Below are 27,610 nucleotides of genomic sequence, written 5' to 3' on the forward strand. Positions count from 1 at the left end.
GTAATCCCTGCTACTTGGGAGGCTGAGACAGGAGTCTCGCTTACACCCGGGAGGTAGAGGTTGCGGTGAGCCAAGATCGTGCCATTGCACTCCAACCTGGGTGACAAGAGTGAAACTCCATCTCAAAAAATAAAAAAGAGGTCTTCCGTTCCAAGATGGCCAAATAGGAACAGCTCTGGTCTGCAGCTCCCAGCATGTTCGACACTGAAGACGGGTGATTTCTGCATTTCCAACTGAGGTACCTGGTTCATCTCATTAGGACTGGTTGGACAGTGGGTGCAGCCCACGGAGGGTGAGCTGAAGCAGGGTGGGGCATCACCTCAGCTGGGAAGCACAAGGGGTCAGGGATTTCCCTTTCCTAGCCAAGGGAAGCCATGACAGACTGTATCTGGAAAAATGGGACACTCTGCCCAAATACTGTGCTTCTCCCACGGTCTTAGCAACAGGCAGACCAGGAAATTCTCTCCTGTGTGTGGCTTGGCAGGTCCCACACCAACGCAGCCTTGCTCACTGATAGCACAGCAGTCTGAGATTGACCTGCAAGGTGGCAGCCTGATGGGGGAGGGGCATCCACCATTGCTGAGGCTTGAATAGGTAAAGTGGCTGAGAAGCACAAATTGGGCAGAGCCCACCGCAGCTCAGCAAGGCCTACTGCCTCTATAGACTCCCCCTCTGTGGGCAGGGCATAGCTGAACAAAAGGCAGCAGAAACTTCTGCAGACTTAAACGTCCCTGTCTGACAGCTCTGAAGAGAGCAGTGGTTCTCCCAGCACAGGGTTTGAGCTCTGAGAATGGACAGGCTGCCTCTTCAAGTGGGTCCCTGAGCCCCATGTAGCCTAACTGGGAGACACCTCCCAGTAGGGTCCGACAGACCTCATACAGGTGGGTGCTCCTCTGGGATGAAACTTCCAGAGGAAGGATCAGGCAGCAATATATGCTATTCTGCAATATTTGCTGTTCTGCAGTCTCTGCTGGTAATACCCAGGCAAACACGGTCTGGAGTAGTGGACCTCCAGCAAACTCCAACAGACCTGCAGCTGAGGGACCTGTTAGAAGGAAAACTAACAAACAGAAAGAAATAGCATCGACATCAACAAAAAGGACATCCACACCAAAACCCCATCTGTAGGTCACAAACATCAGAGACCAAAGGTAGATAAAACCACAGATGGGGAGAAACCAGAGCAGAAAAGCTGAAAATTCCAAAAACCAGCGCGCCTCTTCTCCTCCAAAAGATCGCAGCTCCTTGCCAGCAACAGAACAAAGCTGGATGGAGAATGACTGACGAGTTGACAGAAGTAGGCTTCAGAAGGTCAGTAATAACAAACATCTCTGAGCTAAACGAGCATGTTCTAACCTGTCACAAGGAAGGTAAAAACCTTGAAAAAAGGTTAGATGAATGGCTAACTAGAATAAACAGTGTAGAAAGGACCTTAAGTGACTTGATGGAGTTGAAAACTGTGGCATGAGAACTTTGTGATGTATGCACAAACTTCAATAGCCAATTCGATCAAGTGGAAGAAAGGATATCAGTGATTGAGAATCAAATTAATGAAATAAAGCAAGAAGACAAGATTAGAGAAAAAAGAGTAAAAAGAAATGAACAAAGCCTCCAAGAAATATAGAACTATGTGAAAAGACCAAATCTACGTTTGATTAGTGTACCTGAAAGTGACGGGGAGAATGGAACCAAGTTGGAAAACACTCTTCAGGATATTATCCAGGAGAACTTCCCCAACCTAGCAAGGCAGGCCAACATTCAAATTCAGGAAATACAGAGAACACCACAAAGATACTCCTCAAGAATCACAACCCCAAGACACATAATTGTCAGATTCACCAAGGTTGAAATGAAGGAAAAAGTGTTAAGGGCAGCCAGAGAGAAAGGTCGGGTTACCCACAAAGGGAAGCCCATTAGACTAACAGCTGATCTCTCGGCAGAAACCCTACAAGTGAGAAGAGAGTGGGGGCCAATATTCAACATTCTTAAAGAAAAGAATTTTCATCCCAGAATCTCATATCCAGCCAAACTAAGCTTCATAAGTGAAGGAGAAATAAAATCCTTTACAGACAAGCAAATCCTTTACAGACAAGCAAATGCTGAGAGATTTTGTCACCACCAGGCCTGCCTTACAAGAGCTCCTGAAGGAAGCACTAAACATGGAAGGAAACAACCGGTACCAGCCACTGCAAAAACATCCCAAATTGTAAAGACCATCAATGCTATGAAGAAACTGCATCAATTAATGGGCAAAATAACCAGCTAACATCATAATGACAGGGTCAAATTCACACATAACAATATTAACCTTAAATGTAAATGGGCTAAATACCCCAATTAAAAGACACAGACTGGCAAATTGGATAAAGAGTCCAAACCCATCAGTGTACTGTATTCAGGAGACCCATCTTATGTGCAGAGACATGTGTAGGCTTAAAATAAAGGGATGGAGGAAGATCTACCAAGCAAATGGAAAGCAAAAAAAGAGCAGGGGTTGCATCTGACAAAGGGCTAATATCCAGAATCTACAAAGAATCTACAAAGAACTTAAACAAATTTACAAGAAAAAAACAACCCCATCAAAAATTGGGCAAAGGATATGAACAGACACTTCTCAAAAGAAGACATTTATGCAGCCAAAAGACACATGAAAAAATGCTCATCATCACTGGCCATCAGAGAAATGCAAATCAAAACTACAATGAGATACTAACTCATGCTAGTTAGAATGGCGATCATTAAAAAGTCAGGAAACAACAGATGCTGGAGAGGATGTGGAGAAATAGGAACACTTTTACACTGTTGATGGGAGTGTAAATTAATTTAACCATTGTGCAAAACAGTGTGGCAGTTCCTCAAGGATCTGGAACTAGAAATACCATTTGACTCAGAGATCCCATTACTGGGTATATACCCAAATGATTATAAATCATGCTACTATAAAGACACATGCACATGTATATTTATTGTGGCACTATTCACAATAGCAAAGACTTGGAACCAACCCAAATATCCATCAAAGGTAGACTGGATTAAGAAAATGTGGCACATATACACCGTGGAATACTATGCAGCCATAAAAAAGGATGAGTTCATATCCTTTGTAGGGACATGGATGAAGCTGGAAACCATCATTCTCAGCAAACTATCACACAAGGACAGAAAACCAAACACAGCATGTTCTCACTCTTAGGTGGGAATTGAACAATGAGAACACTTGGACTTAGGGCAGGAAACATCACACACTGGGACATGTTGGGGAGTGGGGAGGAGGGGGAGGGATAGCATTAGGAGAAATACCTAATGTAAATGACGTGTTAATGGGTGCAGCAAACCAACATGGCACATGTGTACCTATGTAACAAACCCGCATGTTGTGCACATGTACCTAGAACTTAAAGTATAATAAAGAAAAGAAAAACCTGAACTATAATTGCATTGCTGGATGCTCAGTGTGGACCAGTCAGAGAGAAAAATTCCAGGGGGTGCCAGTCTTGGGGAGCCCCTTCATACTTTTTACATTTTACCTTCAGGAGCCCTAGCAGGTCCTCCAGTGAAGATCAGAGAAAAATGTCTCATTTTTCCAGCAGGGGAAAGGGGGAAGTAGCCTTTGAAATGTACCAGAAGGTTCTGTTCCTTTAAAAGGGGGATGCTAATGGTTGAACTAGTTACACCTTCTAGGGATAGTGCAAAGATTAGGTGTGATAATACATGTAAAGCACATAGAGCATGTAAGACCCGTGCTGCTGTTATTATTTAGCCATATTCCTATACATAAGCTGAGGGTTATTCACCTCTACTAAAGAAGCTACACATGAGTTGGACATCCAGAGAAAGGCTGAAAGGAGAAAGGTGAAATTTAGCTGGAGGAATGCCTTTATACCTTTAAAATGTATAGTGGTTTGCATCTTGAAAGCATTACCATAATTTGGCATACTATTGTATACATTCTCCTATGAATCCCATAAAATAGTTATTCATTCCCTGCTAAGGTAAAGAAAAAAGATAAATAAAATTTCTGAATCTGACCTTTTCCGGGCCCCTTTACTTCAGAAGCCAGGATTAGGATTTAAACTTTCCAGCGTCTTGGCCACTTCTTGTTCCCTGGGCAGCCCTTTCAGCTTGATGGTGAGTTGTAAGCAGTGAACTGGTTCCTGCAAGAGCAAACAGTAGCAGATACATGGAGAAATTGCTGGCCAGAGATTGCAAAGCACATCACAATTCTAATCGATTCTGAGAGACAAACGTGGAGACCTGCAAACCTGTGCACAGATGAGGACTTTTACCAGGAGAAATCGCCTGGAGTCCAGATGACAGACTTTTGGAAATGCTAACTTGAAATGTTTTCTTTCTTGGCTTTAAAAATTTAGCCTTTACTTTGAAGCTGTCAGAAAAAAATGATTTTTGTTTTTCTGTGTGTGTGTGTGTGTGTGTGTGTGTGTACATACGTTTTTATTTCTCTTGGGCAAATCCCTAGGAGTGGGATTGTTAGGTCATATGGTAAATACAATTTAACTTCATGAGAAACTGCTAAACTGTTTGTCAGAGAGGCTGTGCCATTTTAAACAGTCTCAGCAGCAATTTATGAGCATTCCAGTTGCTCCACATCCTTGCCAGCAATTGTTGTCAGGTTTTAATTTTTTTTTCTAATTGTAGCTGTTATAATAGGTATACAGTGGTATCTCACTGGGGTCTTAATTTACATTTTCTAATATTAACAATGTTGAGTATGTTTTTTGTTTGCAATTTGCCATTTTCTTTTCTTTTTTTCACAGGTGACAATGATTGAGGTTTGAATTTATGTGTTTCTGCACTTCCAATACATATATCCCATCCTTATTTTTACCCTTCTAATTTCAAAGAATAATTGCATTTTTTTTTGGATAATTTACCCTAGTTCCTCCTTCCATTCTTTACCTTAGCAGGGAATGACTTAGACTATTATCAATAGTAGTAGCTGGAACATAGTAACTTTATTTATTTAACTTTTAAGTTTAGGGGTACATGCGCAGGTTTGTATATAGGTAAATTTGTGTCATGGAGTTTGTTGTACAGATTATTTCATCATCCAGGTATTAAGCCCAGTACCCCTTAGTTATTTTTCCTAATCCTCTCCCTCCTCCCCACCCTTCACTGTTCTATAGGCCCCAGTGTATTTTGTTCCCCTCTATGTGTCCGTGTGTTCTCATCATTTAGCTACCACTCGTAAGTGAGAACATGAAGTATTTGGTTTTCTGTTCTTGAGTTAGTTTGCCAAGAATAATGGCCTCCAGCTCCATCCCATGTTCCTGCAAAAGACATTTTTATGGCTGCATAGGATTGCCACATTTTCTTTATCCAGTCTACCATTGGTGGGCATTTAGGTTGATTCCATATCTTTGCTATTGTGAATAGGGCGATAATGAACATATATGTGCATGTCTCTTTATAATAGAACAATGTCTGGTCCTTTGGGTATATACCCAGTGGTGAGATCGCTGGGTCTAATGGCATTTCTGTTTTTAGGTCTTTGGGGAATTGCCACACTGTCTTCCACAATGGTTGAACTAATTTACACTCCTACCGACAGTATATAAGCATTCCTTTTTCTCTGCAGCCTTGCCAGAATCTGTTATTTTTTGATTTTTTAGTAATAGCCATTCTGACTGGTGTGAAATGGTATCTCATTGTGGTTTTGATTTGCATTTCTGTAATGATCAGTGATGTTGACCTTTTTTTCATGTGTTTGTTGGCCACATGTATGTCTGCATTTGAAAAGTGTCTGTTCATGCACTTTACCTACTTTTTAATGGAGTTTTTAATTGTTCTCTTGTAGATTTGTTTAAGTTCCTCATAGATGCAGTATATTAGACATTTGTTAGAGGCATAGTTTGCAAAAAATTTTTCCTATTCTGTAGGTTGTCTGTTCACTCTGTTGGTAGTTTCTGTTGCTGTACAGAAGCTCTTTAGTTTAATTAGAACCTATTTGCCAATTTTTGCTTTTGTTGCAGTTGGTTTTGGCATCTTTTGTCATGAAATCTTTGCCTGCTCCTATGTCAATAATGGTATTGCCTAGGTTGTCTTCCAGGGTTTTTATAGTTGTGTTTTATATTTAAGCCTTTAATCCATCTTGAGTTAGTTTTTGTATATCGTGTAAGGAAGGGGTCCAGTTTCAATCTTCTGCATACTGCTAGCCCGTTCTCCCAGCACCATTTATTGAATAGGGAGTCCTTTCCCCATTGCTTGTTTTTGTCAGGTTTGTTGAAGATCAGACAGTTGTAGGTGTGCGGTCTTATTTCTGGGTTCTCTATTCTGTTCCATTGGTCTATATGTCTTGTTTTTGTACCAGTATCATGCTGTTTTGGTTATTATAGCCCTGTAGTATAGTTTGAAGTTGGGTAGCATGATGCCTCCAGCTTTGTTCTTTTTGCTTAAGATTGCCTTGGCTATTCATGCTCTTTTTTGGTTCAATATGAATTTTAAAATATTTTTTTCTAGTTCTGTGAAGAATATCATTGGTAGTTAAATAGGAATATCATTGAATCTATAAATTGCTTTGGGCAGTATACCCATTTTAATGATATTGCTTCTTCCTATCCATGAGCAAGGACTATTTTTCCATTTGTTTGTGTCATCTCTGATTTCTTTGAGCAGTGTTTTGTAGTTGTTTTTGTAGAAATCTTTCAGTTCCCTGGTTAGCTGGTTAGCTGGTTAGCTGTGTTCCTAGGTGTGTGTGTGTGTGTGTGTGTGTGTGTGTGTGTATATATATATATATATATATATATATGTATATATATATATATGTATATATATATTTGGCAGTTGTGAATGGAATTGTATTCCTGATGTAGCTTTCAACTTGACTGTTATTGGTGTTTAGGAATACTAGTGATTTTTGCGCATTAATATTTTTGTATCACGAGACTTTGCTGAAGTTGTTTATCAGCTTAAGGAGCTTTTGGGCCAAGGCTACGGGGTTTTCTAAATATAGGATCATGTAGTCTGCAAACAGGGATAGTTTGACTCCCTGTCTTCCTATTTGGATGCCTTTGATTTCTTTCTCTTGCCTGATTGCCCTGACCAGGACTTCCAATACTGTGTTGAATAGGAGTGGTGAAAGAGGGCATCCTTGTCTTGTGCTGGTTTTCAAGGGGAATGCTTCCAGCTTTTGCCCATTCAGTATGAAACGTAATAACTTTGAAACAACTTATTTTTGTTTTTCCTCATCAGATCCACAGAATGGCTTAGTACAGTTTAGATTTGTGAGTGGCCAAGTGAATTCCTGTAAGTAATTTCTTTTTCCTGTGTTGTTTGAAAAACAAATGTGAACAACTCTGAAGGAGGCTGTGGTTACATGTTTTAATCAGAGGTAACCGATTTGGTTCCTGGTCAATAGAACTTCTGGGAAAACAGTAGTTAAAATTTAAAATGACACAACAATTAAATCCATGATCTATTCACTGCTATTGAACCAAGGCCTACCTGGAGCAACAACACAGTGGCTTTCCAAGACACCAACTTTTAAAGGTTAAGAATTTGCTTCACATTTTGAATTCCTTAATGACATTCTGTTGAGGTCTCACCCGTAGATTTATATATTCAACAGGCTAAAAAGTTAATTGTTATTTGTCTAAAAAGTGATTACCATTTTGATGAGGGCCTTAGATGAACACATAAAATACATACTGATCAAATTTAGGAATGACAAATCTGAAAAAGATAACTAATATTTTTGATGAAGGGATTGTCAGATCACAATTGAATTGTAAATCAAAGCAAACAAGAGGAAATTTAACAGAATACACATAAAGGTTGACACTTTCATAAAAAAATAAGTTGTCAAATATAGAATGGGAATAGAAGAAACCTATGTTCATAACAGTTAATGTGAAAATAGTGATGAGCATTTTAAGTCAAGTGTGATAAGATATAATGGTTTCATTCTACTTTGGACTAAGTAGGTAAATATCTAGAATATTGTGACCAATTATGAAAGCCACACATGGGACTTTGAAAATCTGAAGAGGTGTCAGTTTTAACCTAGCAGGATGTGTTCAATTTTTCAGACACGTCCTATGTGGAAGAGAGGCTAAATCAGTTGGGATCATCCAAGCAGGAGGAGAGAAAGCTTATGGAGCCCGAGGGGTTCCTTCAGATACCTGAAGTTCTCTCTATGCTGTAAAGGCTTCTTCACAGCATAGTAAACATCTTGCTGCTCAGTGTGAAGGATGAAGCTAGGACAACAACCTCAGATGATGGATGCCATGAAAGGGACATGGGATGGGTGGGAAGTTGCACGGCCTTTGAAGATTCTTTCCAACTCTATGGTTATTTGTTATTTGAAGTTCAAGATTAATGCCATTTGAAGAGTTATTTTTGTATATCTTTTATGAAATTTGATGTTCCCCTTGACTGTTCCTATTTTCAAATTTCAGCTATGTTTCCCCATGAAAATTTTGAGAATGTTCACATGACTTTAGTATTTAGAGATATCAGTAAACTTACATAGTGCCTGTCTGTAAACCTCTTTGACATTCGTATGCTGTCAAATTGCTTCACTTGTGGTCTCAGCAAGATTAGGGCTGTTTCTTTCTTCATCCTCTGAGCTAGGATTTATTTCATTATTCTGAAGTTATACAAAAACACACATACATTCCAAATGCATATCTTTTTGGCTCTTTGTGGAATCTTATTAGGTGTGTTAAATTAGGAAATAGTACAAAAAAAAACCCATGAACAGTCTTCAAGAGTAAGTGAGTTAATAACTTTTCCTAATTAATTCTTTAGAGGCTCTTCCTGAGAAGAATTTTGCTGGGTGCACATGTCCACCAGCTCTGTGTCCCTCCTAGACCCCCTCTTTTGCCCCCATTACCTTCTTTGCTGCTACCACAACAAGGTATATTAGCCCTTGAAATTAAAGATGTTGCTGTCCCAGTTGTGCTTGTCTTCACCTAAATGCATACAGTCATATTCCAAAAGACTATATATTAGTGATATCTATATAGTTCACCCTTCATATACATGAGCTCCCGTGTGTGGAGTGAACTAATTGCAGATATAAAATATTTGGGAAAAAATTTCATGTGTACTGAACATGTATAGACTTTTTTTCTTGTTATCATTTCCTAAATAATACAGAATAATAACCACTGTTTACATAGCATTTACATTGTGTTAGGTATTATAAATAATCTGTACATAATTTAAACTGTACAGGAGAATATGCATAAGTCATATGTGAATACCACACCATTTTATATCAAGTACTTGAGCCATCTGCAGATTGTGGTGTCCATGGGAGGTACTGGAATCAACCCCTATAGATACCGAGGGACAATTATGTTTCTTCAGGTTTTGAAACCAACTTAATTTTGGAATGGGACCTGAAGTTGATAGCAGCAGTCTTCATTACAACTTTTGAGGTATCCTAGAGATCCTCGGGCCTCAGTTTGAATGCCACCGTAGGGTTATGGGGCTGTAACAGATAGTAAGCTATCAGGCCAAGTAAGTGAGCAGCTCTAGGAAATATATAGTGTCTCTTTTCTGGCTGTGGCTTAGCTGAACATTCTTACCAGACCCCCAAATCCAGTCTGGTTCATATGAAAAAAGGTAAAATAATCTTCTTAATGAAGGCCATTTTTAGGCCTGTTTGAATTTAGCAGCTCATATAGGAGAGGAGCATTAAATGATGAAAGGACAATGTCTGCAGGAATAGCACTGCCAAATAAAACAGTTAACTGGCTTTCTGGGGGACCAGAAATCATCATGGCAAAAGATCATTGTTCAAACTAGTGGTCAAGAGTTGCAATCCTACTTTTGCCCTTTGGCCGGCATGTGTTGGGGAAAGTTGACCTTAGTATGTGGGCTGGTGGGCCAAAAAAGAAAGTGATGCTATCTGCCTGTTTTAGAGGCCGACCTCTGCCCACTGGGAAGCGTTTGTTATAGGTTTTCACAATTTCTAAATATATTTGTGTGGCTGTATAGACTTAAAAAGAGAAATGCTTAAGCTTATGTTTAATAAGAAAATGTAAAATGCAATTTGAGTCTTTATTATCCTTAACTTTCATGAAATACCCACGGGTTTTTTGTTTGTCCTTATTCTTATACATAAAATTGTGTTATCTTGCTGGCATTAAGTATTTGTAGAAGAGAAATACACAATCTCACCATTTCCCTTTTTCCTTTTTCCTCAGTTTTCTGTAAACATACGTGTACACACACACAGACACACACACACACACACACACACACCCCTGACTTCAGGTAACCAGTGTTGTCCTAGATGAGGCTGAGCACTGTTTCCTGTTTCTAACATTTTTCCATCTCTTGGAGCCTCTCCCTTTTCCTCCCCCTACCCCAAAGAGAAACAAGTAACTATTAATCAGCTTTTATGGGAAATGGAAAATAGACTCTCTAGCCTAGCATTGTACAATAGAGTTTTCTGCAATTATGCCAATGTTCTGTATTTGCACTGTCCAGTATAGTAGCCATTAGTCATATGCTGCTATTTTGCACTTGAAATGTGGCTAGTAGGATTGAGGAACTGAATTTCTAATTTTGTTTCATGTTAATGTAAATTTAAATCACCATATGTGACTAGTGGCTACCATATTAAACAGAATAACAATTGCCAAATAATTTATAGCATCAGAAACTGTGCTGAGCAAATGTACTAATCAGTGGGATGCAACATTCTAAATACCTCTTTTCTATATTGAGCCAAATGGTACTTAGAAGTAATGCAATATCATTTTTGATAGATGTTAAGATGATCATCAAAAAAGATGAATAAAAGCCAATATCCACCTAAAGCATTTGTAATTGATTGTAGAGACCATTTTCTATTTTATGCTAGATGCTTTACATATCGCTTTACAGCTGTATCATCTATTATTTTCACAAGAATTCCAAGTTAGATATTATATTTTCCCATTTCATCTAAGGCAGGAAACTGCAGCACACCAATTTAAAATAACAAACCAAGGTCACACAGCCAGTAAAGAGTGGAGCCAAGTTTTGAACCCAGGTCAGGCTCTCCTTTGATGCATTTCACAATGAATATTTCCGACATGATCTTCTAGGGCACTTGCGCATGCCTCCCTAGTCGTCATTTGGAAGTAGGGCAGGTGTCAAGAACATGAGCCCTGGCACCACACTGCTTGTTTGAATCCTGCCTCTACTATTAACACCTATATGAAGTTGAGCAAGTTACTTAATAATATCTCTGGGCCTCAATTTTCTCATTTTAATATGGAAATATTAAAAGTACCCATCTCATTGGGTTACTGTGAGGGATTAAATAAGTTAGTATCCGGCACATTGTTTGAACTATATATATTTGCCATCATAATTATTTTTAATTTAAAAGACACTGCCCTTTATGTTAGGATGTTGATTTGATATGATAATAAATGAAGTAGAGATATGCTTTGGGTGTGCTTCCCTATGAAATAAGAGAGATTCGAATCATTCAGATAATTCAGGAAGAAATACCCTGCTGTTCAGCCACTTTGGTGTCTCTGTCAGTAGGATTATAAAGTTTCAGAGCCCACATGCCCTGGCCAATTTCTCATCTCTTTGCTTGTCATGTTACCCTTATAGACATCCCCTTTGGTGTCTTTGATTGGTTCTGAATGCTGAGCAGTGACATGCACCAACACAGCTGGAAAGGCCTGTAAGATTTGCTATTCTGTCTTCCAGCAGGGAATTATTGCCATGGATACCAATATCAGAGGAAGACTGGGGAGCACTCACCACTCGCCTCCTGAGTGTCTGACATCTGTTTCTGGCAAGGCCAATAATGAGTATGCTGCTAGCTTCATATCAAATGAGAGTCTGATCTACACCTATTTTGTTTTTGTTTTGTTTTGTTTTTATCACAGATGGCCTCTGCCCAAGATGCCAGGTACGGCCAGAAAGACTCCTCTGATCAGAACTTTGACTACATGTTCAAATTACTCATCATCGGCAATAGCAGTGTGGGGAAAACATCTTTTCTATTCCGTTATGCAGATGACTCCTTTACATCTGCATTCGTCAGCACAGTTGGGATCGATTTCAAAGTAAAAACTGTATTCAAAAATGAAAAGAGAATCAAGCTTCAGATTTGGGTAAGTGGCTTTGAACTGGCAGTGTTCTTCAGGCTGGGGTGTTGAACATATCCATTTGTAAGGGAGAAACTTTCTGCCTTGTTCTATCCCCAGGGCATCCACAAGCCTCAATTTCCAGCTTCTTTGCTGCAGAACATTCTGTTTCAAAGAAAGTAGTGGTGATGCCTCTTTAAGACATGAGGGGTGAATTATTATTATGCCTTGTTGTCATGTGGTGCTCCTTAAGAGTCTTCAGAATAAAAAAAAAATCCAAACCTCTATCTTGTTGGTGGTGGAAGGAACACTTTAAGTCTGGCTTTGCCTTTTATGATCTCTGTAACCTTGAGAAAGTCTGTGACTCCTTCTCTGACATTTTTGTAATCTATAAAATAAGCTAAGTGGTTCTGGGTTTTTAGGTCACAGAAAGCAGCCTCTCCTGGGCATTTCAAAGAAGAAGATAAACAACCAAATATAGGAAAAGTGTAGGTTTAGACCCTTCATAAAGCTCCAGATAGAACTTCAGAGATGGTCTATTTATACTGTGCAAACTGTTTTCAACTCTAAGAGCTATGTTTATATATGCAAATAAAACAAATGAAATGAAATATTTATTTGAAACAGGGTCTTTCCAAAGTAGAAGGTTCTCCCAAAGTTTTGAGACCATTTGGTTAGCTTTTTGCCTCTCCTTACCTCCAGAAGAAGATCAGAGGTAGCTTAGCCAAACTGGTGGGATAAATTTAGGAGACCAGTGAGCAAAAAACAGAGGAAAATCTATGTGGATAGCAGGTCCAAGGCAATATAAAAGATGGAGCAGCCAATTTAAAAAAATTGTTACACCAAAAAAGACTGATGTAGTAAATATTTTATGGACATCGTAATATGTACATAGGAAGAATGTTTCTACAGTAAGTTTTGGCACCTTTTTCCTATTCCTTTGTACCTCTGCCACTCAAATTGATTTGATCTGTAATCAGGCATTTCCCAAGAGGTGTTTTCTAGCTCCTTCTGAGACATTTACAACAGCTACTACCATTTGGTGCTGGTGCCAGGATTGATCAATAGGACTGACAATAACCCTCCCTTCATAAATATGGAAAGCTAAAAACAAAAAACAAACAAATCGCAGAGTAGAGGATTTTAACTTTTTTAAAAAAGAAAACAGCCCTTTATTTAAAAATCTGTATAAACTGAATGACCTTTACACATCCTAAAGGTCTTATTAAAGTAGAAATTTAAAGTAATATTTAAAGAGGCAGGTATATACACAGACAGGTACCTTCTTATGTAGCTTACAATAGGCTGTTACTATTTTACTTGTTCTAACTCTAGAGTCTTTCAAATCTAATTATAAATCACGTAAGAATTTGTACAAGTAGACCTTAGGCTGGGCATATTCCCTGCTCCATCATTCCCCAAAGCCATTTTTATTGGGAGTGTTCCTTTTCAGAAACTTGACCTCAATTAATGGAGATACCTATCACACACTCCTCTGTATGGAGACAGAAAAAGCTTTGTCCATTGCTTCAAGTATGGGTCCTGATTCATTCTCTTCCTTTTGAATTGCAGGCAATCCAATTGTTATATGATACATTTCGTATTAAGTTTTAAGGAAGGTTCCTTAATTCTCAGGGGCTTTGGTGAATGGAAAATTAAATTAATTTGGAAACGATACATCCCTTAACTCCATGACAATGTTCTTTTTACTAATATGAAAGAACAATCATTCCTCTGGTTGATAGCTCCACTTTTTCCTCTCTTCTTTCTGTCATAGAGATAATTAAAAATAGTGGTTAGAATCATTTAGATAAAGCATCAGCATGGTGTGTTAAGCCAGTCTTATAATTTCTGGCAAATTTTCAGTGTAGGTTTTTGACAGAAATTCTTTGTTGAGGTGCAAAATTATCTATCTTCAATGTAAATCAGATATATTTCAAATAATATAAATTATTTTTCACACTTAAAAATTATTTTCTTTAAAACAATGCTGGTACCAGGCCAGTGCTAATTCACTCACCTTTTTTTTTTGGCATTGAAATAAGTTATTTATGTCTACATCTCACTTCTGGATGAATATAGCTCTTCTCTGAGCCAACCAAAGCTCAGATCCCTGAGCTGCTTCTACTCTAATACCTCCTCATGCTGCTCAGTTTCCATAAGTTCATGAAAAAGTCTCTGAAATATTATTATCTTCAGATTTGCCTCTAATCTTCTACAATCTACTAGTTTCTTATTAAAAAAAAAACCCTTTAAGTCTATAGACAGTCAGGCCTGGGACCTCATTCTAGGGCCTCCATTCTCCTGCTCTGTGGATGCCCACACTCCCATCAGGGTTCAGCCACTTGGGAATCCTTCACTTTCCCCCATCGTCAGTCACAATAGTAGATTAATAGCCATTACTATCATTGCAATTAAAACATAATCCAATTTCTTCCTCTTTAGGTACATTAGGAGCTCTTAAGGCACATCTGATTTTAGGAGTGTGAAAATCAGTTTTATAATAGTGTATACAATACTGTATACTATTATATGTACTATTGTGGTCTGTTAGATTGTGAAACATTTAAAAGAAGTACAATACAAAGATTTTGTGCTTATGGAACTTGTAGTATAGTTAGAAAAGGAAATTAACACTCGTTGGATAATTATGTACTTCTATAAGCAAATATCAAATTGTATAAATATTATGCATAGCTAGCATTTATTGAATACATACCATATGTTAGGCATTATCTTTGCCTTATTTCTAATTCTCACAACCCAACTTTTAATTTATTACTATCCTATTTTACCTGAGAAATCTGCATGTAGGACAGTTAAATAAGTGAAATAACTTGTTCAGGGTTGCACATGCTGAATGGCTAAGAGGGGATTCCAAGCTAGGTCTATCACATTCTAACACTGCGCTAATTAAGAGTCTTCTTGACTAATGTGGTGGTTATTTTTTTTGAAAATGGCAATCTTGAGTGATGCATCTGGGATGGTGAAATGTTTTTGAAAGAGTTCACATTGAAGGCATGCAGGAGAAGAAATAATGAGGAGCAACAGTGGTATGCTTAAGTATAGGCATTCCTATGATAATTCCAGGAATCCTTGCATTATGCTATAATATAAGTGTGCTGGAAATTATTTAGTTGTAGGTAGTTATGATTGTTTAACAACTCTCACAAATCACTTATTTGGAAATATATTTAGCACAGATGGCTTGTCATCTCATTGTGCTTTAATAACCAAGCAGTGAACTGCTCTTCCCAACTTATAGTATTTTTATGCATTTATATTATGTGTAAATAATTCATTAAGATCCACATCATCTTAGCCTATTATATATTTCAAAGAAAAGAGGCAAAATGGTTTCATAGTATGAAAGCCATCGTGGGTTGAAACACTATACCATTTTCTCTACCAAGACAGGTTTCAGACATTGATTTAATTTGGATCACTCTATTCATTTTAAACTGCCCCCAAATAGAACTGTTTCTAAGTTAGGAAACCAAGATATAGAGAGGCTAAGCGATTTGACCTTACCTTACAGTTAGTACCAGAGCAGAGCCTAAAATCCAGGTCTCCTGCTAGGTGGGCTAGTCTGGTTTCTACTACATTATACTTCTTCTCAAGGTAAGTGTTGTATGACAAAAATTGTAATAAATCTCAACCTGGTTGTCAGTGGAATCCTCCAGCTATAGAAAAAAATCAAACTTGAGGCCAGGTTTCAAGTATGATTTTTGTTTTTATTTTTATTTTTTTGAGAAGGAGTCTCACCCTCTTGCCCAGCCTGGAGTGCAGTGGTGCAATCTTGGCCCACTGCAACCTCTGCCTCCCAGGTTCAAGCAATTCTCCAGCCTCAGCCTCCAGAGTAGCTGGGATTACAGGTGTGTGCCAGCACACCTGGTTAATTTTTATATTTTTAGGGGAGATGGGGTTTCACCATGTTGGCCAAGCTGGTCTCAAACTCCTGACCTCAAGTGATCCACTCGCCTCAGCCTCCCAAAGTGCTGGGATTACAGGCATGAGCCACCACGCCTGGCCTCAAGTGGCATTTTTACTGGGTCAGGAAGGAAGAGCCTGAGTGGGAAAGCGCTCCTCATTTTCTACTTGATGGTTTGCTTTCTTGTCACGTGCTGCATAGGGATTTTCTGATTCTTCAAACTGGATTAGTAGATTTGCAACAGTCTACATTCAAATAAAGCATTTTAACAAGTAATAGACACATTTATACTTCCTGAATGCGTTACACCTCCTCTCTGTGGAAGCAGGAAAGAATGGGAGGGTCAGAGTACGCAGGGTTCAGATTAGCTAGTTTGAACAACTTCAACTTACTCTGGGACACAGGAACGATCCCTCAGTTGCCTGGCACTTAATAAGTCCTGGAGCGATTAGGGCAGGTGGATAGTGGCCCAGAGTGTGAAAGCCCTATAATGGAGGTGGTTGGGAGTGTGTGCTCTGGATTGGTTGGTTTGCCTTTGAAAAGAGTGCTCCAGTAAGTTGTTTACTATCTCTAGAAACTGGCTAATCCTGGGAGGGTCAGTCCCTGCAGAATCAGTGAGGCCCCAAATGTCAAAGCATCAGAATACAAAAAATAAAAAATCTAAAAATAAAAGACATGGTTAATATGGAGGGAAAGTTCTTGGGGCCTCAGGGGCAGTCTCTGTCACTAATTTCACTCTGACAAATGCTGTGATTCCCAACTGTCTCACTACAGGATTGGTATATTTTTGGGTCTCAGTATTTGGAGACCTAGTACATTGAGTCAGGAAAAGATCTGACAGATTTTCTGGCTCAACCTCCTCATTTGATGATACTACTAATAATAGCAACATTTATCAAGCCCAGTGCTGACCCATAAAATAAGCACTTTATGTTTCCATGCATTTTAAAATTTATTTTTTGCAACAACCAAATAAACCAAGGTGGTATTATTAGCTCTCTTTTATAGCAAGGAAACAGAAAACCAGAAAGACAAAGTGATTTGCCCAAGGTTATAGTCACAAGCAGGATTCCAACCTGGGCACTGAGCGCAAAGCCCATGTACTTGACCACATGGTAGAAGAGATCCAGGGAGGCCAAGTGATTTGTCAGAAGTTTCAGATCTGATATTAAATTCCACATATTTTAATTCATAGCAAGTACTTTTTCCATGCTGTATAATTACTCAGTATCTTTCAGTAGTTTCTTATGACCTGTCCAAGATATTATTTATAGTTACAGAAAAGAACCAGTTGTTTTGCTTGGAACTTACTATCTGGCAGCATGAGCACTTTGTGCATTATCTGTTTTGTGTTTAAAACACATAGATATGCACAGAAGGAGGGACTGGAACACATTCAACTAACTTCTTCCTGCACATTTCTGGAATGCTGTTTCTGCTGTTGGAGAACGTGAACATAAAGAAAAGGGCATGAAAGAAGGAGTCTAATGGCATAAATACCTACAGGAAAATATTTCTGCCTATAATCTTTGCATTTGGTGCTCAGGTGGCCTAGTCACCCTACCCATTGATTCCAGGAAAACAATCAGGTCCTCTGGTCTATTTATAAGGAAACAACACTTTCTGCCCAGGCAAGCTTCTTAAGAAAACCACCAAAGCCAGTGACAGCTGCCAAGACCATTCTTGGTGCTGTCATTTGTATGCTCTTTTCCCCCATCACATTTCTTCTAACTTAGCATCTGCTTTTCCTGAGAGATTGAGAAAGGCAAGATTTAGTTTTACTCTTGAGAGAAAGCTGATACTGTGTCTGAAATGTCAAGATGCCTGAAAACATTCACTCTGTCAGGCAGCTGAACGCAGGAGCTCCTACATCCCACTGTGTTTAACCACTCTTCTCAGCATTGACAAAATACAAAGGATGGTACGGGCATTGTTCCTGGCTTAATAGAGCTTACCAACTGCATGGGAAGACAGGAAAACAAACATAGAAGAAAGGATCAACCTGTGGATCAGTAACTGTGTTCTGCCAAGGGGTAGAGTGGCCTAGTGGCTTGAGCAGGGACTTTGGAGTCTGGTGACCCAGGGTTCAAATGTTGTCCCTGATTCTCACTAGGGTTTGACCTCAAGCCCTGACTTCTCTGTGCTTCCATTTCCTCGTTTATGTAGTGGGGGGAAATAACACCTACCCCTGAGCTGTTAAGTATTTGCTATGGTAAATTATACTTAGTTCAATACTGGGCACAAACCAGGCACTCACAAATGTTAGTTTTCTTCTTTTCTAAAAATAGTGTACCAAAATTCAGACTTTTGTATTCAATTAAGTAATTTAATTGAATCCAATACTTGTTGGTGCCTACTGTGTGCCAGGCACTGTGCCAGGCATTGGACATATAATGGTAGAGCACGCCAAGGGTCTGCCATATGGAGCCATAAGGAGATCGAATTCCACTGCTGCTATAAATGGTCCAAAAGGCCTGAGCACAGCACACACAGGGAGGATGCCCAACACCATCCTGGGGACTCGGGAAGGTTTCCTGGGTGTAACAACAATGGGAAGGGGAAGCCTATTTTAGGTGATCAGTGCGGATTGATACAAGATGCTAACTGAGCTAACAAAGCCTGATTTTCCTCCCATTTTGCCCCTGTTTGAGCAGAGGTGGATTGATACTGTTGGGGCTTGAAGCTTTTACAGTTTGCCAGTCCTCTTTAAGGAAAAAGATACACAATGTCTTTCTTATGAATAAGTGACAGAAAGCAGGTGACCATACAAACACATTGCTAAAGCCCACTTGGAAGGTACCCAAAGCCTAATCTTTAATCAGCTTCATGGAAATCCACCTCTACTTTTGTCGAAAATTTACCTGTGATTCTATAGGGACTGACAGACACATGTGGGAGATGGGAAACATTGACAACTAGTACCAAAGAGCAATGTACAGTGGAACATGCAGGCAAAGATGTGTGAAGACAGTGGGATAAAGAAGAGGCATCGGGGCAGGAGACTGGATTTGAGACCTCTCTGTGTAACCTTGGGACAAATGACTTCACCTTTCTGGGAAGCAGTTATCTGATCTGTAAAATGAAGAGGATCCACTCAACTGAAAAAAAAACAAACAAAAAAAACCCCCAATCTGGCATTCAGTGATCCCTAATGTGCCACATACAGCTGTGTGTGGTTTATAGGTAGTGAGTTATCTAATCCTCACAAAAACCCTGTGAGATAGATGCTATTCTTGTCTTTAGTTTACAAATGAGTAAACTGAGGCATAGAGTGTGTGAATACCTTGCCCAGGGTCACATAGACAAGAAGTGGCTAGCAGATTTAAGTATGGACCACCTAGCTTTGGAGCTTTTTCTCTTAATCCATTCTGCTGCACCCTTTCTCTATAAGTACAACATTTGAGTAATTGCTCTCGACCAGCCACTGTGCATATTTTATTTGCAATGCTGGAAATTTTATTTTTAACCTCAAAATGTTGGTATTAATATTGCTCTTTATAAGGTAAGAGGAAACCAAGACTCAGAGAGTTTAAATAATTCCCCCCTGGTCACATAACTCTTTATACTGCTTATAGAGTAACTTCAAGCCTTATAACTGATTAAAATAATAAATCAAATGGTAGCCAACAATCAATGGAGGAAAAAGTTTTTCCAGGAATACATAAGGTAAAATGGACAAATCATGACATTATATTCCATCCAGATTAATCTCTTTCATGATCCTCTAGTCAGCCCAATTCCTACAGGACTTCTATCCCAAGACTGCTAAGCAGCTCTCAAAGCTTCTAAAAATTCAAATACCGGCCGGGCACTGTGGCTTATGCCTGTAATCCCAGCACTTTGGGAGGCCGAGGTGGGTGGATCACGAGGTCAGGAGTTTGAGACCAGCCTGACCAACGTGGTGAAAACCCGTCTCTACTAAAAATACAAAAATTAGCCGGGTGTTGTGGTGCACGCCTGTAATCCCAGCTACTTAGGAGGCTGAGACAGGAGAATCGCTTGAACCTGGGAGGTGGAGGTTGCAGTGAGCCGAGATCACGCCATTGCACTCCAGCCTGGGTGACAGAGTGAGACTCTGTCTCAAAAAAAAAAAAAAAATTGGAATACCATAGTTTTGGTAACAGAGAACGGCAGTTCTGTGTAACTGAAATTTCAGGTAAGTAAAGCTTCACATTATGAGAACTTTAAACCAATTAAATCTTTTAATGAAAATTCTTCTAATATGTGCTGCACATTTGTTTATCATAAGGGAAAAAAAGAACATGAAAGATAAGCCAACTTGACGCTCAGGATTATCAGCATCTGATGATGTTTTCTGTATACTTGGTTCTACTTAGTATGTTTTCTTTTCTTTCTTCAGTGTCAAACTGTCCGTCTTCATGTTTCTAGCTGCTTTCCTTTCTCATTCTAATTTTTAGCTTTCATTAAGTTTCTTTTTTCTTATAAACCATGTTCATTGTCATTTGTTAGCCAAGTTGAGAGGAAAGTGGCTCAATATGTAGGTATGAAGATCTTTTAAATTAGTATGCATGAGCTTTGTAGTAGGGGCACTGGGGAGATCTAATTTAGTCTCACAGAAGCCTCCCTTTGCACTGTTTTGTAATCTTCATAAATTTACCAACCAAAATGTTTAATCTGCCTGAACACATTGGTGTTACTTTTATATTAGGCCTATTCTAGACTTACTTGGTTCTAAATCCCCCTAAGACAAAAATATCACACAGTGGTTTTGTGATCAAGAATGGGCCCCAAAGCCAGGCTGTCTGAGTTCAAATTATGGCTGTAAGATTTGTGGATATTATGACCTTGGACAAGTTAATTAACTTCTCCATGCCAGTGTTTTCATCTGTAAACTGGGGACAATAATAATATTTTGCTTATAGTCTTATCGTAAAGATGAAATAAAATGATATTTACAAAGTTCTTAGCACAATACCTGGCATATAGTAAGTACTCAAGAAACAAATCATTATTATTTCTCTCAACAGCCTTTATTTTATGGGCCAAACCTATTTAACGCCATACTTTCTGAAATAGCAAGTAGTAGTACTTTTTTTGGTAAATAAATTGCCAGTTTGCAGGCAGGTATTTATATGAAGAACTTCAATTTTGGTGTCCTGAAGTAATGATATATACAAGCATATTGACAAGGTGGCATATCTTCTGGATTGCTCTCTGGATCACCTGGATTGCTCTCACCAACCACTGGTAAATTTTAATATGCCCAAGTGCAGTGAGCTGTGTTGTTGAGGTGTTTCCTGGTGTTTTGGAGCCATCTATGCATTTAAATAGAGTCATCAACTGCACAGGAAAGGCAAAACCATACAGCTTATTTATTAAATGCTCATAAAATTGATGCCCTGCCCTAGAGCAAAACAATTATAAATCACTGGATCCACAGAGAGCTGTAATTCACCTATTGGGATATGATTTCCTCAGGATATTGCCTACTGATGTCAGCAGCTTCTGGTCTAAGATGTGAGCTGTGTCCATGCCACCAGGTCACCTGTAGTTATTTTTCTATTGATTCATTTACAGTTATACTGAACTGACCAGTTTTTCTGGCATTAAACACAGCTACTCGGGAGGCTGAGGCAGGAGAATGGCGTGAACCCGGGAAGCGGAGCTTGCAGTGAGCCGAGATTGCGCCACTGCAGTCCGCAGTCCGGCCTGGGCGACAGAGCGAGACTCCGTCTTAAAAAAAAAAAAAAAAAAAAAAAAAAAAAAAAAAAAAAAAAAAAAAAACACAGCTTAAATTCGGTGCAAATTAAGCATTTAATTACCCCATATTTATTTTTCAAGCCAGACTTAAGAAAAAAGTACAGCATTTTTCTAGTTGGATAGTACTTATTTTCAGTAGTAGGCATATTCTTCTTTTTCCTTGTGCTTTTACTTTCCTAACACTAATTTTGCTAGTCCTGAACATTGCCACTGTGGCAGCTAAACAGCGAGATAAGAGATAGCAAATGTGAGCATCACTTGATACAAATCACTTTGCTGAAGGTGCTGATGCATATGAAGGGAAGGAAAGCAAGGTCTCCATCTTGTTTTACTATCTCTGGAGCAACTAAATCAATTTAAAAATGTTTACAAAGCATCGGGGCCAGGCGCAAAGGCTCACGCATGTAATCCTAGCACATTGGGAAGCTGAGGCAGGCAGATCACGAGGTCAGGAGATTGAGACCATCCTGGCTAACACGGTGAAACCCCGTCTCTACTAAAAATACAAAAAGTTAGCTGGGCGTGGTGGCAGGCGCCTGTAGTCCCAGCTACTTGGGAGGCTGAGGCAGGAGAATCGCTTGAACCTGGGAGGCAGGGGTTGCAGTGAGCCGAGATCGTACCACTGCACTCCAGCCTGGGCGACAAGGCAAGACTCCGTCTCAAAAAAAAAAAAAAAAAAAAAACAGTTTACAAAGCATCGTGTGAGAAACAATAGAGAAACAACAGAAAAGTACAAAGGAGACATAAAATAAAAAAGAGTTGAAGTAGGTAAAGTATGAGACAGGGTTTTGGAGAAAAACAAAGAGGATAATTTTAGGGAGTTTAATGATTTTACAAAGGTGTGTGCAGGCTTAGGGAAGTAATAAGGGAAGATGCAGACTCCAGAGCTAGCATCAGAGAGTCATTACCACCCCCTTGGACTGAAGGGAACAGAGAAAGAGCAGTTAGGAAAGACCTGTAGCTGTAGTAATAGGAGAAGGACATTACATTAGAGCCTTGGCCTTTTAGAACACAGCCACTGCCAATCAGTAGCTCATCATGGAAGGGGCCACAGATGCCTTGGACCTCTCATTCATCCCACCTTCTGATCTCTTGCCTGTGCTTCTCATGGGTTGAACCCACCTTGAGGTTAGTGGAACAGGGTGGCAACTGCTCTGTTTTAGCAGTTCACAAAACTTAGTCCCCGGAGCACAGGGTAGGGTGAGATTTGGTAAGGAGTGGATCTGGAAAGCAAAGAAACATATCCAGCACAAGAAAGAAGGGCTGGGATTCAGAGGGTGCCTTCCGCCTTGCCAGGCTGAGCACGCTCCCTGCTGCCTGAGCAAGGTTCCCACACAACAACAGCCGACCCACACTGGCCTCTGACAAACATGTTTCCTCCAAAAGATAAGTCAATCTGTTTTTTATAAAGGGCTGGGCATGGTGGCTCATGCCTGTAATCCTGACACTTTGGGAGGTGGAGGCGAGAGGATTGCTTGAGTACCCAGAAGTTCAATACCAGCTTGGGCAACATAGTGAGACCTCACTTCTGGAAAAAAAAAAAAAAAAAAAAAAAAAAAAGGTGAAATTTATTTAATTATTTATTTAATTTTTAAAAACACTTGAAAAGAATATTACTTGTTATAATTAAATTCTTCTCACTCTTTTGGTAATCTGGCAGGTGGTAGATTTTTTTAAATTTTTTTTGTTGGAGATGGCAATCCTCCGTCAATTACCCATTTGTATTTATTTATTAACATTATTTTGGTTTTGGAAGCCCAAATATCTGGGATTCAGTGATGTGGAGGGTAGTATAGACGCCCCTGGGCTATGTATAGCTGGACAGTATAAAGGAAGCAGCTGGAGAGCCAGGCAGGGGCTGTATTTTAGTCAAACAACTCCTGGTGCAGCTTAAAGCACCAGACATTTATGAATGACTGCAGTGTGCTACGCAAAGTGCTAGGCCATGGAGGAGAGGGAGCCAAGAGTTTTTAAGCTTCCTATCTTCTAGTAACTTACTAAATAATGACATAGAAACAGGCGTGGAAATAAACAAAAGACCAGCCAAATGAGAATAGGCTTAGCTATAGCAAAGGGATCAGCCACCATCACTTGCATTTTGGCAGAGACTCAAAGGCAAGCAGAGGAGTGGGAAAGCTTTATAATGGAAAAAAGGGGAGCGTTTATGTATGCCCTGGTTGCAGGCTGTTAGCATGGGGAAACTGTAGGCATGCTAACAAGAAGTGAGACATCCTATGTTATTGGCTGGTGGTGCATATTTTGCTTTCTTTGATTGATCCTAAATTGGAAGCAGGGACAAAAATTGGGGAAGCTGTCAGTGATTAATCAAGTCCTGGACCTTTTGGGAAAATTATTACAAAAGTTTTTGCTAAGCCTCCAAGATTGTCACTAATTAGAGCAGTGTGGCTTCCCGCAAGTCTGACTTCTAACAGGCTGGCTTTCCTGGTGTTTATTGTAGATAAGGAGGTTGGTTTCCTGGGAAGGTTGCTGCAGGTTGTGGGTCAAAGTTCTGCTTTTACATGTGTTCTGGGTGTTGTCTATTTGTACGTTGAGTCTCACAAATATACCTAACTCAGAACCAACTTTAATAAGAGCAGCAAGAGAGATAGCACAAGAAAAAGTAAAGGGTTTTGGGTGTCTGATAGCTTGGCTCTAGGCAAGTTATTAAACTCTGTAATGCATTGGTTTTAATTTTCTATAAAATAAGGATAATAATATTTGCCTTGCAGGCAAAATATATTTGGCTTGTAGGGCTGTTTTAAGGAATTACCTAACATGTGTATTGTGCCTCTTTTGGTGTTCTCATATTTTTTGAACTCATTTCACCCTTAAAAACTATTGAGGTCATCAATGACCTTGTTTTTATGTGGGTTATATCTACTGATATTTAATGTATTATAAATTAAAATGAAGAAAATTAAAAATATTTATTTTCATTTTAAAATAACAATAAACCCATTGTATGTACACATAAAGAACATATTTTAATGAAAAATAACTGCATTTTGAAAGACAGTACAATTAGTGAGAAAAGTGGCATTTAAAAAAATCTCATTATATCTGGCTTAATCAAAGACAGCTGATTTTTCATATCTGTTTCCTTATTCAACCTGTTGCTGTATCACACATCATGTAACCTCTGGAAATTTCCACTGTACACTCATGGGAGAAAGACAATGAGAAAGGCAAATAAAAACTTGGTATTCTTGTGAGAGTAGTTTTCAATTCAGAGACCCTCTGAAAGACTTTAGGAACCTTCAGACCACATTTTCAATACCACTGCTCTAGACCATAGAAGGCACTCATATAAATCATTAATAATATTAGCAGAAGACTACAGCAGTGTTGGCATTTATCACAAGGGGCACTTCTTTATAGAGGTCTGTCTTGATAAAGAGGCCTTGTTGTTGTCAATGATTGGAAAACTCCTATATGCTGGCAGATTAAAGGCAGGAGATCTTCTGACAATAGGTGGCTTCCCTGGAAGCCAGGTCTGAGGCTCAGGACGAAGAGTGCAGGTCTTGCAAATGAAGACTAAACCAGAGAGAAGTTCTTATTTTTCAGCAGTATCTGAGTGAGAGAATGAGTAAATGAAAACACAAATACACACCCTTTATACCAGTTATTTTCAACAATATGGCAACAGCAAGTGCAAAGGACTGGAAAATAGGTCCTGTGGCCCCACCTCACTGCTCAAATCTGGCTCACTGGAGCAACAGTCTTCCCAGTTCTGAGAAGAGAGGCAGGTGACAAATATGATGAATCCTCCTTCCTCCATCCTCCATTTGCTTTACAAACTGGGCAACTGAGTGGAGAAGCCATTGGGTTTTCTGGCAAAATTCTGAAAAAGGGAGCATAGCTGGTGAAAACAAGCTCCTGGAATCTGAAATCCCAGTCTTTCAAAGTTTATCAGAAGCTAAATGTTCAATTACATGAAGTTATGCATGACTGATAGGCTAATGTCTCAAATATTTAATGGTATTTAAATTTTAAAATAGTAGTTTGTGAAGCAAAGGAATGAATGAGCTTTCAGCAACAAGTTAAATCATGGGTCATCTTCCCTGGACTCTTCAGATTAGAGTCCCTGTGTGAAGGCTGACTCAGACTCACAAGGCATATTATTGACACTTTACTGTAATTGAGGGGGAGAAATGGACTGATATAAATTATTTCATTTTAATTAAACAATGGATCTGTCCTCCTACTATAAGAAAGGAAAAAGGTAATAGTTTTGTTTTTTGGGGTTTTTCCTCTCTTCAAATTTTGCAAAGCAATTAACCTTCAGGTTAAGACAAAACTCAGAATATTTTATCTCTACCACTTAATTTGTCACAAATTTACAGTCAATTGGAAATATAATAAAAGAGTGAGAATTGAAAGCATTTTTCTTACTTTGCTGTATGGCTAGCTTCTGCAAATGCTGTAGCAAGTTCTGTACATGTGGTTTTGAGAATGAAATTCTAAATTGAGTTTTATAATGACATAAAGGCTGAAAGCAGAGATTAAAGGAGAGAGGCTTCTTACTCAGAGACTGGTGAAAATCCAGATCTGCTGAGACCTTTCAGCCTGGCCTTGATGGTGACACATGAAAGTGATTCTACAGTTGGGAGGCACTCAAGTTTGCAGATGGCCTGATCTCACAATATGAGAGAGATTCACATATGAAAGCAACCAGACAAAGAAGGCTGTAGAAACTAGAAGCCTGGGTGAACAGTTTTTTACGCTGGGGTTTATCAGAACCATTGTCTCCCAGAGGAGTGTCTGGTCAATAATTTTAACATAGGAACCATGGTCTCTACAGACCTCAAAGTGTGGTCCCAGAGTCAGTCCCTTGTCGGAATCACTTGGGGAATTTGTTATAACTGTAGATTTTGAACCCCATGTCAAGCCTACTGAATTCATATCTCTCTGTAAACAGAAGCAGGGAATATGGATTTCTAATAAACTTCCCAGGTGATAACTGCCATTCTGAGAAACAGTTCATCCTGTCATATTGTGTCTGTTCACGGAGGGCTGAAGGGAGGTCTACTTCAGTCTATAAACATTGATGATGGATCGGGGAAGGGGCAGACCAAGGTCTTTTTCTCAGACCTCCTTCTGTTTTCTGTAGCCAGATAACAGTCTTAGATTGGCCCAAATATGGCAGCAGGCTGTAGGCCTATTCTTCGAGTGGCTGTGGACAGAGGGTATATGTGCCTGGAGAATAGCATCAAAGCTTAAGAGCTTCTGACATACTGTATTTGACAATGGTTCTACTTGCTCTTTCATCCCCTTCTCTTCTTTCCCTACCAGCCTATTACCATCCCCTTCCCTCTCTCCATGACTGAATACAGTCCCACTTCTGTCTGATTGCTAACTTTGCTTTGGATTCTTTCTCTTTCCTCCTATTCACTACATTCTTAGCTATTGAAGTTTAGAAGCATTTTCTCTCCATTCACCTTCATCTCAGTTTTCTATTCTAGTCTCTGAACTGGACATGAAGCAAAATGGGAGGTTCTAATACTATCTCTGTCTCAACCAAAGAGATGTTTGTCTCCTTAAGCTTTTTGGCATTTCCCACAGTGATTTGCAAATTTCTTTTTATGTCATGGAGTCATGTCTTTAAAGGAAGGCATATGGAAAATTCCAATGACTAGAGGGAACTGACCTGTTTTCAGCAGGCTAGGAAGCATACGGTTTCATTTCTTCAACTTCCCAACCCCTTACCTAGAGGAAGGCAGAGAGGGCTCATCCTGGAAAACCATTGCTCTACAACATCTTTTAGAATGAGGGCAGAAGAACCTACAGACACATCTCTGGCAGACTCCATCCATGGGGTAAGCCCCTTTAGAGATGGCAGATCTTATGGAAAGAGCCCATAAAGTCTCTTAAAACTAGACTATAGGAAGGAAAGTAG

At 39.3% G+C, this 27,610-nt stretch overlaps 1 protein-coding gene across 2 annotated transcripts in view, besides 1 other annotated feature; it reads left to right on the top strand.

Moving 5' to 3' along the window:
• Nucleotides 1-27,610, top strand: part of RAB3C (RAB3C, member RAS oncogene family) — a 277,243-nt gene that overhangs the window by 23,630 nt on the left and 226,003 nt on the right. For both annotated transcript variants that reach the window (NM_001317915.2, NM_138453.4), the window contains exon 2: nucleotides 11,862-12,089. In NM_001317915.2, coding sequence (NP_001304844.1) covers nucleotides 11,862-12,089 — 228 coding nt within the window. The remainder of the gene's footprint in view (nucleotides 1-11,861; nucleotides 12,090-27,610) is intronic.
• Nucleotides 5,076-5,245: an enhancer, noted in NCBI's record as "experimental_86582 CRE fragment used in MPRA reporter constructs". NCBI's record gives its function as "activates a minimal promoter by MPRAs in K562 erythroleukemia cells, with activity observed for both the introgressed and non-introgressed 5:57906769 variant alleles {active_cell/tissue: K562}" and the evidence as "EXISTENCE:reporter gene assay evidence [ECO:0000049][PMID:34662402]".

Source organism: Homo sapiens, chromosome 5 (genome assembly GCF_000001405.40).
Source record: "Homo sapiens chromosome 5, GRCh38.p14 Primary Assembly".
Lineage (NCBI taxonomy): Eukaryota > Metazoa > Chordata > Mammalia > Primates > Hominidae > Homo > Homo sapiens.